We start from the raw sequence: 18,281 nt of genomic DNA on the forward strand, positions 1-18,281 counted from the left end.
GTTCTATTACCTTGCTCTTGAGTTTTGTTTGTTTCTATATGTACAGAGAGGGGAATGAGAATGAATTATGTCTTAAGATTCTTTTTGTGTTCATACATGATGATTCTGAGTCTCTAACCATCTAAGAGTCCATTTCCCGGTTGAAGGGTCTGTTTCAAGATTCTATGACTCTGAGACCCTCTTTCTGGAATTCCAGAATTCTATAACTCACTCAGAATTCTACCGAAAGCTTCCATTTGCACAAGTTATTCCCTCTGCCTGGAATGAAAGTTCTTCCAAGCCTGGAAGAGGTTGCCTCACTAGCTCTTACTGCATATTTCGCCTTAAACAGCACTTCTCAAAAATTCCTTTTTAATTCATCCTCCAATGTTTTTTATTTTTATTTTATTCTGTTTCATTTTTTGTGAGACAGAGTCTCATTCTGTTGCCCAGTCTGGAGAGCAGTGGCATGATCAACCTCCATCTCCTGGGCTCAAACCATCCTCCTACCTCAGCCTCCTGAGGAGCTGGGACTATAGGCATATGCCACCACACCCAACTAATTTTTGTATTTTTTGTAGAGATGAGGTTTTGCCATGTTGCCCAGGATGGTCTTGACCTCAGGGGCTCAAATAATCTGCTTGCCTCACAAAGTGCTGGGATTATAGGTGTGAGTCACTGTGCCCAGCCCTCCACTGTCCTTTTTATTTATTTATTTAATTTTTGTTTCTTTATTTATTGGTAGAGATGGGGTTTTGCCATGTTGCCCAGGCTGGTCTTGAACTCCTGAGCTCAAGCTACCTGCCCGCCTCGTCCTCCCAAAGTGTTAGGATTACAGGCATGAGCCACCGCGCTCGGCATCTCGATGTTCCTTTACGCATCCCTTCCCATCGTCTGTCCTAAAATTCTGTTTTTTTCCATGATCATACAGATCTTAATTGGTAATTATATTTTTATTTATATGATTTTGGTTAATGCTTGTCTTCTTTACGTTCCCATTGCTTGGTAAAGTAGATAATAACTATTAGATGAATGAAAATTAAATGAATGAATGAATTCTACAATTCAAAGTTTCCATGAGTGTTTATTCCCAAGGTCTTCTATTTCAAACACTCCATACCACCTGCCCCACCTCAAGGTTGACACCTGAGAAGGGAGTGACCTTTCCAATTTCATAATGTTGCCTGGACCGTGTGTGCCCTGCCCGCTTGGTTTCCTACCCCTCCGTTATTGGCCTCTTTGGGATGCCTTGGATTAGAAGAGAAGGCTGAGCCATGTCTCTGCTATTGAAACCAGCCTGTATCAGCTATTCATTCACAGCATGTATTTGTCTAGTGCCCACAAAGTGCCAGGTGCTGTGCTAAGGTACTGGGGACAAAGCATGAGCAAAGCAGACCTGGTCCCAGCTTTTGGAGAGCTCAGAGCCTACGAGCCCAGAGACAGACATTCACGACTCAATTACACAAATTCCATAAAATTACAAACCATGATAAGTGCTGGGGGACGGAGAGGAACAGGGCGCTCTGAGAGCGTACAACAGTTCACAGTCTAGACCCAGGACCTTGGGCTCAAGGGCACAACGGGGCCTTGGGCGGGTCCTGCATGAGCGTTATCTGGGACACGTGGATACTCTTTTTGTGGAATCTCTGCCCTGGGAAACCATCAGCTAGAACTTGGGTTCAAGGTGGTGGCCTGCCAAGCTCCCAGCACTTTCCTTGAGATTCATAAGCCTGTGAGGCTGGAAGCTAAGCAATCACCTCTCAAAGCCCTTCCCCTCCTTTTCAGTGGACTTGGTCACTGAAAAGAGAATGGTAAAGCCCTGGAAGGCCAGAACTCTAGGCGCCCGACACCCTCCTTGAACAGGCCGGGAAACTGGGGCCTAATGAGAAGAGGCTGTGCAAGGTCACACAGCAAGGAGCAAAGCGATAACGAGAACCCAAGCTCCCCAGCGTCCCATTCTCTGCTGCTTTCTACCCTACCTCCCTAGTTCCAAGAATGGTCATTGATTTTATAGAGGGAATACTGTTTCAACCAGAACCTGGGAGGGTTTCCACTGGCTACAAGCAATAGTTAGGACATAGACAAAATTCTGCAGGAGAGCAAGAATCTTACAGCTACATTTGGAGAGGTTTGCCCTGTGGTGGTTACTTAGGACACAAACACACATGAGGGAAAATACATCAGGTGACATGTTTGGATTGAATAGCATTCTTTCATTTTCTTGAAGGAAAATGTAGCTATTTGAGCCTTGAAATGCTAGTTCTTGCATTTTGCAGTGTTGTTTCCAGTAGCAAAAAACTGAAACAATCTAAATTTCCTTTGGCAAAGGAATGGATAAACTGTGGTAAAGCTCAACCTTAGAGTACAATGCAGCATTTAAAAAATAATGAAGGTTGAGACCAGGAGCTTGAGACCAGCATGGGCAACAGCCTGGGCAACATAGTGAGACTCAGTTGCTCCAAAAAAAAAAAAAAAAAAAAAAAATCCAGGTCTGGTGGTGTGCACTTATGGTCCCAATACTCAGGAAGCTGAAGTGGGAGGATTGCTTGAACCCAGGAGATTGGGGCTGCAGTGAGCTGGGATTGCACCACTGTACTCCAGCCTGGGTAGCATGGTGAAACCCTGTTCAAAAAGAAAAAAAAAGGCAGGTGATCGGGGGGAACAAAGGTAGGTCTGTATAGGGCACTAAAGCACATTATTGAGTAAAAAAATGCAAATTTTAAAAAACATATATATAATATAAAGCCATTTACAGAAAAAAGAACTCATGAAAATACTGTATTTTTCTATAGATACACATATAGGTACATAAATGCAGAGAAAGGTCTGAAAGGAAACACACCAAGGCGCTAACCTCTGAGGAAAGGTGGGGATGGCCATGTGTGTTGGGAGGGGGCTGATGGGTTGGTCAAATGGAACTTAAACTTTATCTGTATTTTTCTGAGAGTGAATTTTATTTCTGTATTATTTAAGTGAGATTGTTTTCTAGAAATACCATACTTCAGCGCAAGTGCCAACAAACACTTTCTGTAACAATGTAGACAATGAATATTTTAGACTTGGTGGGCCGCACTGTCTCCGCCCCAACTCTTCCATTCTGCTGTTGTAGTGCAAAAACAGCCATAGATGGGACGTGCAGGAATGAGTGTGGCTGTGTTCCAATAAAACTTTATTTACACACATTGAAACCTGAATTTCATACAATTTTCACGTTACCAAATTTTAATTTTTTTTCAACTATTTAAAAATGTTAAAACCATTCTTAGCTCACAGGCTATGCGAAAGCAGACAACCAGCCAGATTCGGCCCACGGCTTTAAGGCCAGTTTAAGCCTCACCACCTTCCTAGCCCCACTCACCTATTTTGTCCTCTCATCTTCCTGTCCTTCAGCACCCCCATGACCTTCCTGTGACCTTCAATGGCCCCTCCAGCTGCCGTCCAGCCCTGTCTGTCTGCCCTTGGGGACCCTCTCCTCCTGGCTGCAGGACTGTTTTTTCCTGAGCAGGTCTCTAAATAGCTCCATTCGCCTTGGCAGGGGGAATCCAGAGAAAGGAATTTTGTTTGGAGTCATGAGAAGCCAGGACTCACCACTTTGATTTGCTTTTGAAATTAGGTCCCCTCCCCTCCCATGGACAGGGGTCCCTGGCCACTTCCCTGAGCATGCCCCAACAGTCTCTCTCCTGCATTCCCTGCTACCAACATTTGCGTCTTGGCTTCTGGTTGCTCCGCCATGGACCCCAGAGTTCTCTGCTTCTTGGCCTGTTGCCTGCTCATCTAGGTCATTTCAGGTATGGGCATCTTCCATCTCAGCAAATCTTTTTATTCCCCTGCAGTGTCCTGAGGCCCCTGTCTCTTCATTTCCCGGGAGCACTCCAGGCTGGAGTGCAGTGGTGCAATCACATTTCCCTGCAGGAGCAGAAGGAAGGGTGATGAGCACCGGAACCTTGATGTCAGGAGGCTGAGTTCCCCGCTCAGCTCCTTTGCTCACTGTGCTGCTTTGGCCAAATCACCTCTCTGAGCTCAGCTTCTTCATCTATGCAATGACAAGGTTGAACTGTGTGCTCTTCCAGGTCTTTTCCAGACCTAATGGTCCCCTCTGATCTGAAAGATCATTTTTAGTCTAGCAGTCTGGGACTCATGTCATGGTTTGGAGAGCATGGAACTCTGGAATCTGATGGAACTAATTCTGGCTCCTCCACTAACTGGCAAGATTTAATGAGACTGAGTCTCTAAGACTCAGTTTACTTAGGAATATAATGGGAATAACAATAACCTCAAAATTACAGGGTGGTTTTAAAGTTAAACGGTGTATATAAATGCTTAGCCTACAGCCTAGTACATAAACACTCAATAAATAATAGCAATATTATTTTAATTTTAAATACCCTGAGTCTAGCCAGGCATGGTGGTGTGCACCTGTAGTCCTAGCTACTCAGGAGGTTGAGGCAGGAAGATCACTTGAGCCCAGAGGTTCGAGGCTGCAGTGAGCTATGATTGTGCTACTGCACTCCAGCTTGGGTGACAGAGAGAGACCCTGTCGCTAAAAAACAAACAAAAAAAAAACAAGCAAACAAGTGAAACAAAAAACAGAAAACACCCTGAGTTCATCATACTAAGATTATATAATCCTACGATCCTAAGTGTTTACTCCTAGCTTCTTTGAATCTAAGCATCTATAATTTTGTTCACAAAGATCAACAGTTTTAGGGCTTTATCGAGGGCAGGGCCTGAAGAATTTATAGCCCAGAACTTGATAGCAGATAGATCCCCAGGAGAGGCTGAGGCCCCAGAGAGCTATCACCTCTGTCTCTCAGCTTCCAGACATTCTAGGAAGAGGTTGGGGACATAATAATCCCTGCAAAATCGTGGCTGTGCTCAGAACAGGATTTAGAGGGATGTTGTCATCCCAGATTTCCTCTTCCAGATACTGCTTGGCTGTTGGATTCTCCTCAAGGAGCCTCATATGGAAGGAAAGGGGCAGGCACCTTCATGGTAAGAAAGTAGCAGTTTATCAAAGGGCTGATGGTTGGGGTTGGTGGGTTTGTTGGAAGGAGAAGGAACTGGAGAATGGGGGTGCTGGGAGTGAGGTGAGCTCAGATAGATAGGTCATGAGCAGTGAGAAGGAGCCCTGAGAGTTCATGTAGTCCAAGGATTTAAAACCATGTTCTGAGGAATTCTGCTGCCTTACTGCCTGCCTTAGAGTAAGGGTGGGTGGTGATTGAGAAGCTGATGGGTAGGTCTCCAGCTCCCATCCTCTCCAATCAGAGTAACCCGATTATTTGTTTTTTAACATTGACCTTTCAGTATTTCAAGGAATTGTTCTGTTATCTATAATCAACCTATCGATTGGTTTGTTTTTAAACCTGAAAACCTCAGGTTTAGTCTTATCTCTTTATCTCAAAGATGAGGGCTGGGTATGGTGGTTCATGCCTGTAGTCCTAGTGCTTTGGGAGGCCAAGGCGGGAGGATCATTTGAGGCCAGGAGTTTGAGACCAGCCTAGACAAAAAAGTAAGACTCTGTCTCTATTTTAAAAAAAAAAAAAAAGGCCAGGCGCAGTAGCTCACACCTGTAATCCCAACACCTTGGGAGGCCAAGGCAGGCGGATTGTCTGAGGCCAGAAGTTTGAGACCAGCCTGGCCAATGTGGTGAAACGCTGTCTCTATTAAAAATACAAAAATTAGCTGGGCGAGATGGCGGGTCCCTGTAATCCCAGCTACTCGGGAGACTGAGGCAGGAGAAACACTTGAACCAGGGATGGGGAAGTTGCAGTGAGCTGAGATCTCACCATTTCACTCTAGCCTGGGCGACAAGAGTGAAACTCCATCTCAAAAAAAAAAAAAAAAAAAGAAGATGTATGTGATATTGTGTGTAAGGCAGGTTAGAGGCCAGGTGACAAACAGGGGGCTAACATAATAGTCCAGATGTGATCTGACCAGGGCTTGCACAGATGGTGTTAGCAGTAATGATGGAGAGAAAAGGATGCCTCTGTGAACTATTAGGAAGGAAAAAAAAGAGCCTCAGGACTTGGCACAAATTGTGCAACCTTCTCTGTATGCAGAGATGATTTGGGGCTGGGTGGCAGAGAGGCACATGGAACAGTATTGCTTCCTCCTCCATGAGGAAGAAAAATGAGATCAGTTGGTAAAAGTTAAAGACAATTTTTCTTCCTCTTCCACAAGGAAGAAAAATGAGATCAGTAGGTCGATATCTAAAAGGGCTTCCTAGCAGTTGGATCCATTCTGCACTAAGGCCACAGGTGGGACTACAATGGGCTCTGGAGTTAGGCTGGCCTGGGTTTGAGTCTGGGTCTCCTTCTTGGCACAGTACAAGAGAATGTGGAAAAGTTAGTCTCTATAAGCCTCACATGCCTCACCTGTAAAATCAGAATACCTTCTTTGCAGTCATTAAGAGAGTGAAATAAGAAAATGTATTTTAAGGGGCTAGTACTGTTCCAGAAATACTGTAGGCTTTGCCAGTGGTAGCTATTGGTACTGTTAAGTGCTGAGTTCCCTATCATTAGGCATATTTAACCTCATGTTGAATGACCTCTTTTGTAGCATATTCTAGAAGGTTTTGAAATCTTGGTACAAGCTTGGAAAAAACAATGTGTAGAATCCCTTCCAGGGCCCACCAGCAGTTCTCCTTCTAAGGAATTCATTCTAAGGAAGTGATCTATTCAAAGGTGCATGCACAAGATGTTTATTCCAGAATTGTTTATTTCGGTTAAGAATATGAAATAACCTAAATACTCAACAATGAAGAAATAAATCATGATACATCCCTACCATAAAATACCATGCAGGTCATTTAAAATGTTGTTGCAGGGCCAGGCGTGGTGGCTCATGCCTGTAATCCCAGCACTTTGGGAGGCTGAGGTGGGCGGATCACCTGAGGTCAGGAGTTTGAGATCAGCCTGACCAACATGGCGAAACCACGTTTCTACTAAAAATACAAAAATTAGCTGGGTACGGTAGTGCACACCTATAGTCCCAGCTACTTGGGAGATTGAGGCATGAGAATTGTTTGAACCTGAAAGGCAGGGGTTGCAGTGAGCCGAGATGGTGCCACTGCACTCCAGCCTGGGTGACAGAGTGAAACTCTGTCTCAAAAAAAAAAAAAAAAAAGTTGGTGTAGGCAGGGTGCGGTGGCTCACACCTGTAATCCCAGCACTTTGGAAGGCTGAGGTGGGCGGACCACTTGAGGTCAGGAGTTTGAGACCAGCCTGGTGAAATCCCGTCTCTACAAAAAATACAAAAATTAGCTGGGTGTGGTGGCATGAGCCTGTAATTCCAGCTACTTGGGAGGCTGAGGTATGAGACTCACTTGAACAGGAGGCGGAGGTTGCAGTGAGCCAAGATCGTGCCACTGCACTCCAGCCTAGGCAACAGAGTGAGACTCTGTCTCAAAAAATAAAATAAAATGTTGGTGCACATGTATTTCTTGACATAGAATGATAATAACATATTCCTAAGTGAAAATGCAGATTAACAATATGTCTTACATTTTCCATTTTATTTTTTAACAAAATATTTAAAATATTTGCATTTAAAAGCCTTGGAAAAATATGCTTCAAAATATTAACAGTGGTTATCTCTAGATGATAAGCTTCAGAGCAAATTTAATCCTTTGTCTTGGTTTGGCTGTATAATTTATTTTTTATTTATTTATTTTTTTCTGAGATGGAGTCTTTCTCTGTCACTCAGGCTAGATCATGCAGTGGTAGGATCTCAGCTCACTGCAACCTCCGCCTCCTGGGTTCAAACGATTCTCCTGCCTCAGCCTCCCGAGTAGCTGGGATTACAGGCATGAGCCAACACACCCGGCTAATTTTTGTATTTTTAGTAGAAACGGGGTTTCACCATGTTGGCCAGACTGGTCTCGAACTCCTGACCTCATGATCCGCCCACCTCGGCCTCCCAAAGTGCTGGGATTACAGGCGTGAGTCACTGCGCCTGGCCAGCTGTATAATTTTTTCTCTGAGTAAGAATTATTTGTGGTAGTAATAAATGTAAAAATTGACAGAACTCTGAGGTTCCACTGAGGTGAATGAAGGCTGGTGATCCCAGACCCACCCTGTTTTCTCTGCAGGTGAAATCCCGGAGCATGGCAGAACTCCAAAGGCTCAGAAAATGAGGGGCTCCAAAGCAGCTGGCCCCAGTGAGGTGCAGCTTTCAGGAGCCCCCTGCCAGAGAAAACCCAAAGCAGACGGGAGCCAGAAGCCCATGCAGATGAAGACCCCCATGGAGGCTATAGCCTCTGCAACCCCAAGCCCCCCACCTGACCCAGGTGTAGGGAAGGCCCGATTCCCGAAGGTTGGGGACTCTTTGAGCCCCTGGAACAGCACTGCAGGGGGAAGGTGGTCCACTGGAGGGTGCCTGTATATCTGGAGGAGGAGGGGCGAAGGACGCCTGAGGTATGGGGTGGAAGAACTCTGGCAAAATTTTAATGGGTCTAGGAGTGTGTCAGAGGATGTTGGGCAGCAGTTCACAAGCACAGTGACAACAGTTTACAGGGATTAAGATGGCTCAGGACCCACACTGGGCATCCTGTTATGTACAACCATAGGCACCTAAAAGAAACAGTAAGATGGGCCCGCGAGCCCCATCAGATGCATAGTGATTGAACAGAGTAGGAGACAAGCAACCTTCCCACAATCCTGGGCTGCTTAAATGAGGGTAGGGGGTGGACCACAAATAGTGCCTCTAGGGAGGGACGTGGCAATGGAAAAGCAAGAGGCTGCCTGCCTGTCTGACCTATCTGTGGCGGATGGCAGGCTGAATACCACTCTTCTGCCAAGGACACCATAATAGGGAGGCCAAAAATGAAAGCAAAGTTGACCCACCAGTATTTCCCTCTGCCAGTCCAGAAGGAAATCAGGCAGAGGCTGGGATAGAAAACTGGGTTCCAAAGATTCGCCTATCCTCTCTCACTTCAGCCTCTTAAGATGGCTCTGGGACTCTGCCTCCTTTGTGGGTGGAAGTGCATGGAAAGCATTTGCAGGCTTGCACCAAGAGACATCAGGAAGGTGCCGAGGAGCACAAAGACGCTTGTGGCATTCCATTCGTGAAGTGCAAAGTCAAAGGGAAGGAGGGTTAGGCGAGCCAATCAGAAACTACGGGTGGGGCCAATGCAAATCCTAACAGATCCATTGAGAAAGGGGGAAAGATTGGGTGGGTGGGTGGGTGATGAAAGTTGGTGATGGGAGGGAGGACTGTCAGTAGACCAAATGCTGCCCACTAGGAGTATCGGGCCATCCCCATCGCCTGCCCGTCCCGCCCCTACCATCTGTCTTTCAGAATCAAGCACTTCAGCCAGTGCAGCCAGCTGCTGCTGGTGAACTCCTCTGGCGCAGACACCGGGGAATATAGCTGTTGGGCTCCGCACTGTCAGGACGGCGCATGCGCTGAATGCCTGGCCTACCAGAGAAAGACTTTCATCTTCTTCACAGGTGCCCTGGAGTCAGGGTCTCCAAGAACCTGCGTCCAGGAAAGTCCTCCAAACATAACCTTCTTTGGGCTTTCTCTTTAGACTCACCTGTAAGATGAGGGGAGTGTACTAGTCCTCCAAGATCCTTCACGGACATTCAAAGATTCTATGGCTAGTTCCATGGAGAACTGAGTAGTCACAGAGTCCAGCTTTGTCCAACAGAGGAAACACAGGACTCTTCATAGTCAGCAATGTCTCTTACTCAAATGCAACCAAAACAGTAACAATTATCCAATCGAGAGGTTATTGCTTTTGTTTTGTTTTATGAGACTGGGTCTTACGGTCTTGCCTAGGCTGGAGTGCAGTGGCATGATCACAGCTCACTGCAGCCTCGACCTCCTGGGCACAGGTGATTCTCCCACCTCAGCCTCCCAAGTAACTGGGACTACAGGTATATACCACTATACCTAGTTAATTTTTGTATTTTTTGTAGAGATGGGATTTCACTATGTTGCCCAGGCTGGTCTTGAACTCCTGGACTCAACCTATCTTCCTGCCTTGGCCTCCCAAAGTGCTAGGATTACAGGCATGAGCCACTGCGCCCAGCCCTATCTAGAGGTTCATGACCCCTACTACCAAGCATCACCTGGGAGCCTGTTGAAAACAGATTCCTGGGCCTCACTCCCATTAAGACTGTGTGGAGTCTGGGCACCTGCCATGTCAACAAACCCTACAGGTGATTCCAATCTTCAGACAGAGGTGGGAACCCACAGTCAGCGCTTCTCAACTCTGGCTGCAAATTAGGGTCACCTGTAGAACTTTAAAGCACAGACACCAATCCCCTTTTCCGCAAGGCAAGTTCTAATTCACTTGGTCTGGGGGTCAGGAATTGGTCATTTTAAAAGCACCTCAGGTGATTCCAACTTCACCTAATACATAAGCCACAAAACAGATGTGGCTATTTAAGTTAATTAGCGTTAAAGAAAGTTAATTATTCAGTTCTCCAGCTGCACTAACTGTATTTCAAGTGTCCAGGAGCCACATATGCTGAGTGGTTACATATTGGGCAACATAAATACAGAACATTTTCATCAACACATAAAGTTCCATTGGACAGCACCGCTCTTAAAAGCTGGTCCCCAGACCATTCCTGCTCGTTACATCATAGTGCACCCAAGAATCTGACCTGAGATTGTGGTGTTAAAAAGTACTTTGAAGGCCAGGCGTGGTGGCTTATGCCTGTAATCTCAGCACTCTGGGAGGCTGAGGCAGGCGGATCACCTGAGGTCAAGATTTCGAGACCAGGCTGGCCAACATGGTGAAACCTCGTCTCTACTAAAAATACAAAATTAGCTAGGCATGGTGGTGTACGCCTGTAATCCCAGCTGCTCAGGTGGCTGAGGAACAAGAATTGCTTGAACCTGAGAGGCAGAGGTTGCAGTGAGCCAAGATGGCACCACTGCACTCCAGCCTGGGTGACAGAGCAAGACTCTTTCTCAAAAAAATAAAATAAAAAGTCTCTTGATAGAGTTTGATGAATGTTTTTGTCCCATGGGCCTCATGCTCATAGCCAATATCTCATTTGCTTCTTATCAGTTCTATGAAGTAAGCTGGGGTGGGATTATTGCTCCCAATTGACATTTGAGAACCAAGGTCCTACAGCTAGCAGGTGGTAGGATTGGGAACCAAACTTTGACTTCAAGAAGTTCAGTATTTCCTGTAATCTTTTTTTCTTTTTTTTTTTTTTTTCTTTAAGACAGAGTCTCACTCTGTTGCCTAGGCTGGAGTGCAGTGGCGTGATCTCAGCTCGTCACAACCTCCGTCTCCCGGGTTCAAGCAATTCTCCTGCTTCAGCCTCCCAAGTAGCTGGGACTACAGGCACGCACCATCATGCCTGGCTAATTTTTGTATCTTTAGTAGAGACGGGGTTTCACTATGTTGTCCAGGCTAGTCTCAAACTCCTGACCTCATGATCCGCCTGCTTCGGCCTCTGAAAGTGCTAGGATTACAGGCATGAGCCACCGTGCCCGGCCGTCCTATAACCTTTTTTGCATTTTTTACATTGAAGGGCCCTTAAAGATCAAGCAGTCTGAATCCTTGCATTGTGCATGATTGCATGTGCAGAGAGGGAAAGATTTCTTTAATACACACAGCAAGCTAATGACAGATCTGGAACTAGGAAGTTTGTCTTCAGCATCCTCAGTCCAGGACCCCTTCCTTATGAGACAGGAAGGAGCATAGAGAATGGGGATGGGAAGAGATAGTGAGGTTTCAGGTCCCCAAGAAAGACCTCATGCTCCTGGGTGGTAATAGAGCCACTGGGAAGCAACAAATCTTTTTCCCCACATTCCCAGACCCTGAGGAGCTCTTTGTCCCTACAGATAACTACTATGAGGTGGTACAGCTGCGCACTCATCATCCAGCCTTGCTTCCCTTCCAAGTTAAAAACCCCCTGGCCCAGATGGCACTACACTGGGAGCTCCCCACTGAGGAGGTCCCAGTGGGAGACAGACATCTCCTTTGATGTGAAGAAGGGCTTCACTATTCACCAGGCCCAGGCTTCCTTGGCTGGCTCCCTCTTATGCATGGCCAGCCTAGGTGGCATGAGACAAATCTCTACCAAGTACATTCTGGTCTATATCAATTGCACATGGGTCTAGGGCTCTGGGTGGGCAGGGAAGGGGAGGATATGGGGAGATATACCTTCTTCAGGAACCTCTGGTTTCGGCTCTGTGGATTATGGAGCTCTAAACAACATCAGCTTTTGATGACTCTCTATGTAGTCAGCCGTTTTGTCCAGCCAGCCGATCAGCCATGGAACCAGCTGATACCAGCTCAGCCTTTCTATCCATTGACCTATTCACAATCAAGTCAAACTGTTCCATGCATGAATCCTCCATCAGTCAATCATTCCATCACCTACCCATACTCCATTAATTCATTTTACCCATTCATACATCTACACATCCTCTATCAATTCAACCACCTCAACCATTCACCCTCTACCCATTTAGCCATTCTGCCCATTCATTCTATTCATCCATCTCTCCATCCCTCTATCTACCATCAATTCAACAATTCTAACAATCAAGTCAACATGTTTGTCTCTAACTTCTCTACCCTCTTAACCATGGCAGACCCATCTTCCTCCCCAAAACCCACCATCCAAGCTTCAGCAACATCAGTATAACTAGGAGAAAACTTCAGTGTGACCTGCATGGTTCTGGGCCGAGCCAGAGATTGCTGTGGACCTTAGCGAGGGATATTCAGGGCAGAAGGTAAGCAGCGGGTAATGGAGGCTGTGTGTATGTGTGTACATGGTGGTGGAGTGTTGGGGCAGGGAGGTGGGAGTGAAGGATTAGTTAGGACCAAGAGCAATCATGGTGGGATGGAGCTACTGCTTGACTGGGAATCTGATAAACCTGGATTCTGGTCCCAACTCTGATGCTGCTTCTCTGAGTTACCTAGGGCAAATCACTTCCCTTTTCTGGGCCCCAGTTTTCTCATCTTTCAAATAGTAACTTCTCAGATTACTGCGTAAGAATGCATAATTTGTTCCTTTCTTAATTTAACCAAAAATGAGCACTTGCCACATGCCAGACACTGGACTAGGTACTAAGGTTATGAGGATGAGTCTAAAAGAGATGGCTTCTGCTATCTGCAAGTTTATCATCTAAGCAGGGAGAAGTGAAATATGGACAAAAGTGACCATGCAGACAATGCCAAATGATACAATGAGCATAAAACAGGGCAATGCGATAGGGTCTACCTAAGATATAGTGGTTAGGGAGTCATCTCCAAGGTGACATTCAAGCCGAGACCAGACTGGCCTCAGCCACACAAAGATGGTGCTGGAGCAAATGCTCAGGCTCTGTGGCTGGGTGTGTATGTGTAACAGGAGATGAACGTTAGCAACTGTTTCCTTGGCATCTGCTGTGAGATCAGACCTTCCCAAGTGGTGTTGGAGAGGTAGTGTTTCTTTCTTCTCAAAGAACTTACTCCCATGAAATTCAAACATCTGGAGAACGGCTGTGCTAAAAGGTATATTACCAACCTGGAGGACCTGAGGCATTTGTAAGAGGACTTCCTGGAAGAGCTGGAATTTGACAGGAGCCTTGTGGAGAGGGAGGGGGAAGATCCAGACCTGTGGTACTAGGAGAAAGAATAAGGGCGAACATGTCACACCCACATGAGACCCAGAGACTCATCTGTCCCACCACTGCCACCTGTGGAGAATGCAGGGGAGCATGTGGGCCCAGGAACTCAAGCATCATTCTTGAGACTCCCAGGAGCCATCAATGACATGTGAGCAGTGAGCTGATCTTGTATGGGTCCCAGGGAAAGAGTGGCTCAGAAAGACCCATGAGGGGCTATCACCCAGCTGGAGGCCATTTAAGAACAGTATAGGACAGGGAAACAAGGTGCTCTACAAGCTGTGATTTGACAAGATCACCACTTTCAGTAGCCCTGAAAAGGAGGCCAGTGGCACCCAGTGAGGGTGCCCTGTGGAACCCAGTGAGGGTGCCCTGTTCCCCCCGAACTTAAAACACTCTGGCTCCACCTCGCTCCAGTCATTTGTGTAGCCTGAGCTGGCACATAGCGACTTCCCGAGTTCATCTCTCCATTCCCTGCAGTGGCTGCAAGGATGTGATAAAGGTGAACTCCACAGAGGCCTTAGGCATTGGAAAGGGTAAAGGATCATTCTCCCACTTGTCAGAAGAGGAAACTGAGACCCAAGAAGGGGAAAGGAGCATACAGACGGTCAGGAGACACTGGCTTGGCTTTACCAGGATTTCCCCAACATGTTCTTTAGAAGGGTGGAATACCAGAAAGTTCCCTCCCACCCTACCTCACTTCCTCTTATAACCATTACCTGTCTTGGAGATTCAAAATACACAGGTACATGTAACAGACTCAGTGGTCGGAGTCTACCCAATTTCACTTTGCTTTTCTTAATGTTTCCAAAACACTTTTGGTAGTAAAATTCTTCCTCTTCCTCTCCTTTGAGGAGGTAGCATCCCTACAGAAGCAGAGGGCCACAAAACCCACGTTGGGAAGTACTTCCCTGGACTGAGTTACCTCTGGACACTCTTTGAGAAGGGGAGGGAAACCCAGCTTTTCTCTGCAGACTTGAGAAGCTTAACGTTTTTCACAAAGAACCTGGCCTTTAAGGTGCTCTGACACCAAGCTGAAGTGTGACCTTGGGCAAGTCACTTCTCCTTTCCCCAAAGAGATAAATGGTGCCTCTTACCTGACCCTGGTGTGTGAGTCAGAGATGCACCTGGGGCAGCTGATGGACAGTCCGTTTTTATCCCCTACCGTTGGGCCAACCACTCTACATCAGTGAACAGGCCCATGTGGTACACGGGGAGAGCCAGGTACAGCAGGAGGCAGAGGGCACCCTGTATGTGGAGGGGACCTGGGCTAGGGATGCTGGTGTCTACACCTGCTGGGCCACCAACCTTCAGGGCACTGGTTTGGCCACCACCCATGTCCACGTGACTCGAGGTCCTCGTGTCTCCTCTACCCCTTCCTAGCTCCCTCCCTGGCCACAGGCATCTGGATGTGGAGCAATAGGCAGAATCAGGGGTAGGTACCTGTGGGAACATCAGTGTTTCTGATGCCAAAGAGGGGTCCTGCAGTGCAGAAGGTGACTTCTCATTCATCCTCGCAGTCTCTCCCACCCCATCCCTCTGTTTTCACCACTTACTTCAACCTCAGCCTCACTCCAAGCCTTGGTCTATTTTGAAGGCCATCCTTTAATCCAGGCTTCACCCTAGCCCCAGGCCCCACATCCACAATTAGGGCAAAGCAAGGGCCAGTGGGGCTTTGGTGCTTGAGGAGAGTGCCCAGAACCACGAGTGGGCTACCCAGGCCCCAGATTTACTCTTCAGAGATCCCCACCATTGGCAGAAGTCCTTGTGAAGACCCACCTCCCCACCCTCCCAGAAAAACACAAAAGTCACATAAATAAGGTGCCGCATGTTCTTTTTAGTTTCCATACATCGTCTGTCCCAGAGTGAGGAGAAGTTGATCTCCTTCCCACATCCACCACAGGCTGCGTGAGGGAAGCCTGGCTCCCCACAACTTGCTCCTTCTCCAGCCCTGCCCCTCTCAATTAAAACAATGCTTTCTTTTTTCTTTTCTTTTTTTTGAGACGGAGTCTTGCTCTGTCACCCGGGCTGGAGTGCAGTGGCGCGATCTTGGCTCACTGCAAGCTCCGCCTCCTGGGTTCACACCATTCTCCAGCCTCAGCCTCCCAAGCTGCTGGGACTACAGGCGCCCACCACCACGCCAAGCTAATTTTTTGTATTTTTTTAGTAGAGACAGGGTTTCACTGTGTTAGCCAGGATGGTCTCAATCTCCCAACCTTGTGATCCACCCACCTCGGCCTCCCAAAGTGCTGGGATTACAGGCGTGAGCCACTGTGCCTGGACTAAAACAATGCTTTCTAAAGCGCATTCTGCAGCCTGATGTGCCTGTGAGGTGAGAGGTGTGGGAGGGACAGAAGCTTTGTTCAAAGAGGTTTGGGAGAGGCTGGATACTTAGCTCCCTTCTTGTAAGTTTGCCACACACATTGGCATATTAAAGGTTCTGAGAAGTCATTCAGGTCACTGATCTGTTTAGGTGTCCCCAAATAACTTGGCCACCAATCATGTCTACTCCTGGACATTAGTTCAATAAACTAGTGTATCGCAGATGTGCTTTGCAAAAAGCTTCATGAAAAAGTACACATGTGATTCCCTCCAGGGCTTTCCTCGAGGCTCCTGGGTGACCTGTCTGACCATGGCTGGAGAATCAGCACAGCACTCCCCTAGCCTCACCTCTTCCCCCATTTGGCTGTGGAAATGGAGAAACACAGTCACCTCTGAACTTCTAAACCTAGAAACAGAAGGAGACTGTACACAGGGGAATACAGAAGGCAGTCTGGGATGATGTCACTATAGAATGACTGATGAAAAATGCAGATTGACTGTTCTGACGCTGGCTTAGGGCCTGGGGCTGAAGCTGGGGACCTTGAGCAAGGCCCTTTGACTCCTGTGATCTGTTTGCCATGTTGCCAATGAGGAATAGGAACCTGCTTCAAGGATCTTATGAGGACCAGGGGAGGGAGGGGTATGGAAAGCCTTTGATGCAAATGCTCTATGCAGAACAGGAGTTATAATTATAGTCTCCATTAGACATGAAGCTTCCTGAGAAGGATCCGAAATCCACAGACTATCAGGACTGGACGGCCTGCTGAGGTTAGTTACTCTAGCCACCCCTTTTCACTGATGGGGAAGCTGAGCACCAGGTTGTAAAAGCCTGGGCCTGGGATCAGGGGCAGTGGGAGGAGGAGTTAAGGCAGGGAGCAGGAATGAAAAAGAAACTAAGTGGGTGAGGGCCAGGGAGAGGAAGATTAAGTCACAGATCTGATTTTCCAGAGCCTGAAGAGAAAAACAGAGCAAAGGATAAGACCCGGATGACAGATGAGATCTAGATTCGACTCTGGGAACTGCTCCATGCCTTGGTTTCCTCATCTGTGCAGGGATGAGGTTCCAGCTCTGATAGATGAATGGACTCACAACCACCAAGCTTGCCCCTGTGCCCAGGTGGCACCAAGACTGAAGGGCCAGGAGGGCTGAGGGGATGCACCTTGCCTGGTAAAGGAAGAGGAGCTCTGGCTACTGTCCCTTGGTGGACACGACTCTGGCCCAGGAATGATGCCTCAGCTGGGGAGGCTGCCTGGCCCTGTCAGCCCCAAGGGCCTTCAGAGACCCCCTCTCTACCACTCACCTTCCCCACTCTGATTTGCGGGGTTTGTCCACACTCCCCCCAACCCCTACTCTGGCCTTCAGACAATCCTAGAATGGGACACTGCAGTGACATAAGAGTCCTTTGACCAGTCCCCCCACCATTTTAATGCAGGGGTAAACTGAGGCTCTGAGCAGGCCAGGGTGGAGTGGAAACACCTAGAGGAAGTTGATAAGTCAGCAAGTCGGCAGCAGAGCTGACAAGCTGGGACCAGGGGCTGTCTCCTTTATGTCAAATGGCCAGCGTGACACAGACTGCCCCTGGGAAAGCCTCGGAACTTCTCGGATTGGGACAGAGTGCTGGGGCAGGGAGGAAATGTCTCCTCTTGCTTATTCCCTTGGCCAACTCAAGGGAAGACGCTTCTCGGGGCCTCCAAAACCCTGTGGGTGATTCCATGTAACTCAAGGCCCCAGGGCTCACTGGGCACACACCCAGGATCTCCATCTCGCTCCCACCCTCGTTCCTTCCTGGAAAAGAACTGAGAGGCTCCTGCTGTCTTCTCCAGAAAAACCTTGGAAGGAGCTGTGACTTCAGGCGTCGTGGTGGGCCCAGGCCCTGCACCCTATGTGGCGAGGAAAGAGACCTCAGTGGGAGTGACAGGGGCCAGAGGGAAGGCAGGCGAGGCATTGGCCCCAAGGACCCGGTACAACAGCTCCTCCTTCTCCTGCTGGAGCTGTCGCCGCAGCTGCACCTCCTTCTCCAGGGCCTCACGCGTGAGAAGCAGGTCTTCTGACAGCTGCCTGTGGATGCACACAGAGCCCAGGGTTGCCTACTGGGAGCAGCTGCCACAGAGACCAACCCATTCCCCCAGGAAGCCTTCCTTAGATGGACCAGCAGCCTGCTGCAGGGTCCCCACTGCCCTCCTTGTTGGCCTGTATACAAGAGGCAATTCAATCTGTTGACCAAGGAGCGGGGGCCTCACAGACAGGCAGGCAGTTCTGAGCTGCTTCAAATCTCTGCTCTACCACTTAGCTATATAATCTTGAATAAGTTATTCATTCTTCTTAAATTTCAGTCTTCTCATTTGTAAAATGGGAAGAAGAAGAATAGGACCCAGCTCTTAGAGTAATTATGAGGATTA

General features: G+C 47.8%; 1 protein-coding gene, 1 long non-coding RNA gene and 1 pseudogene across 2 annotated transcripts in view; 1 reads left to right on the forward strand and 2 right to left on the reverse strand.

The window, feature by feature from the left end:
• Positions 1–2,910: 2,910 nt before the first annotated feature.
• Positions 2,911–9,785, reverse strand: LOC107986463 (uncharacterized). Its single transcript, XR_001742936.2, has 3 exons — positions 9,515–9,785; positions 4,365–4,519; positions 2,911–3,885 (listed from the first exon to the last, which is right to left on the reverse strand). It is a non-coding gene; the product is annotated as an uncharacterized LOC107986463 (long non-coding RNA).
• Positions 8,307–14,943, forward strand: PDGFRL2P (platelet derived growth factor receptor like 2, pseudogene; annotated as a pseudogene).
• CCDC69 (coiled-coil domain containing 69) overlaps positions 15,378–18,281 on the reverse strand; it is a 43,041-nt gene continuing 40,137 nt past the window's right edge. The window contains exon 9 of the mRNA NM_015621.3: positions 15,378–17,940. Coding sequence (NP_056436.2) covers positions 17,763–17,940 — 178 coding nt within the window. The 3' untranslated portion in view covers positions 15,378–17,762. The remainder of the gene's footprint in view (positions 17,941–18,281) is intronic.

Source organism: Homo sapiens, chromosome 5 (genome assembly GCF_000001405.40).
Source record: "Homo sapiens chromosome 5, GRCh38.p14 Primary Assembly".
In the NCBI taxonomy this organism is placed as follows: domain Eukaryota; kingdom Metazoa; phylum Chordata; class Mammalia; order Primates; family Hominidae; genus Homo; species Homo sapiens.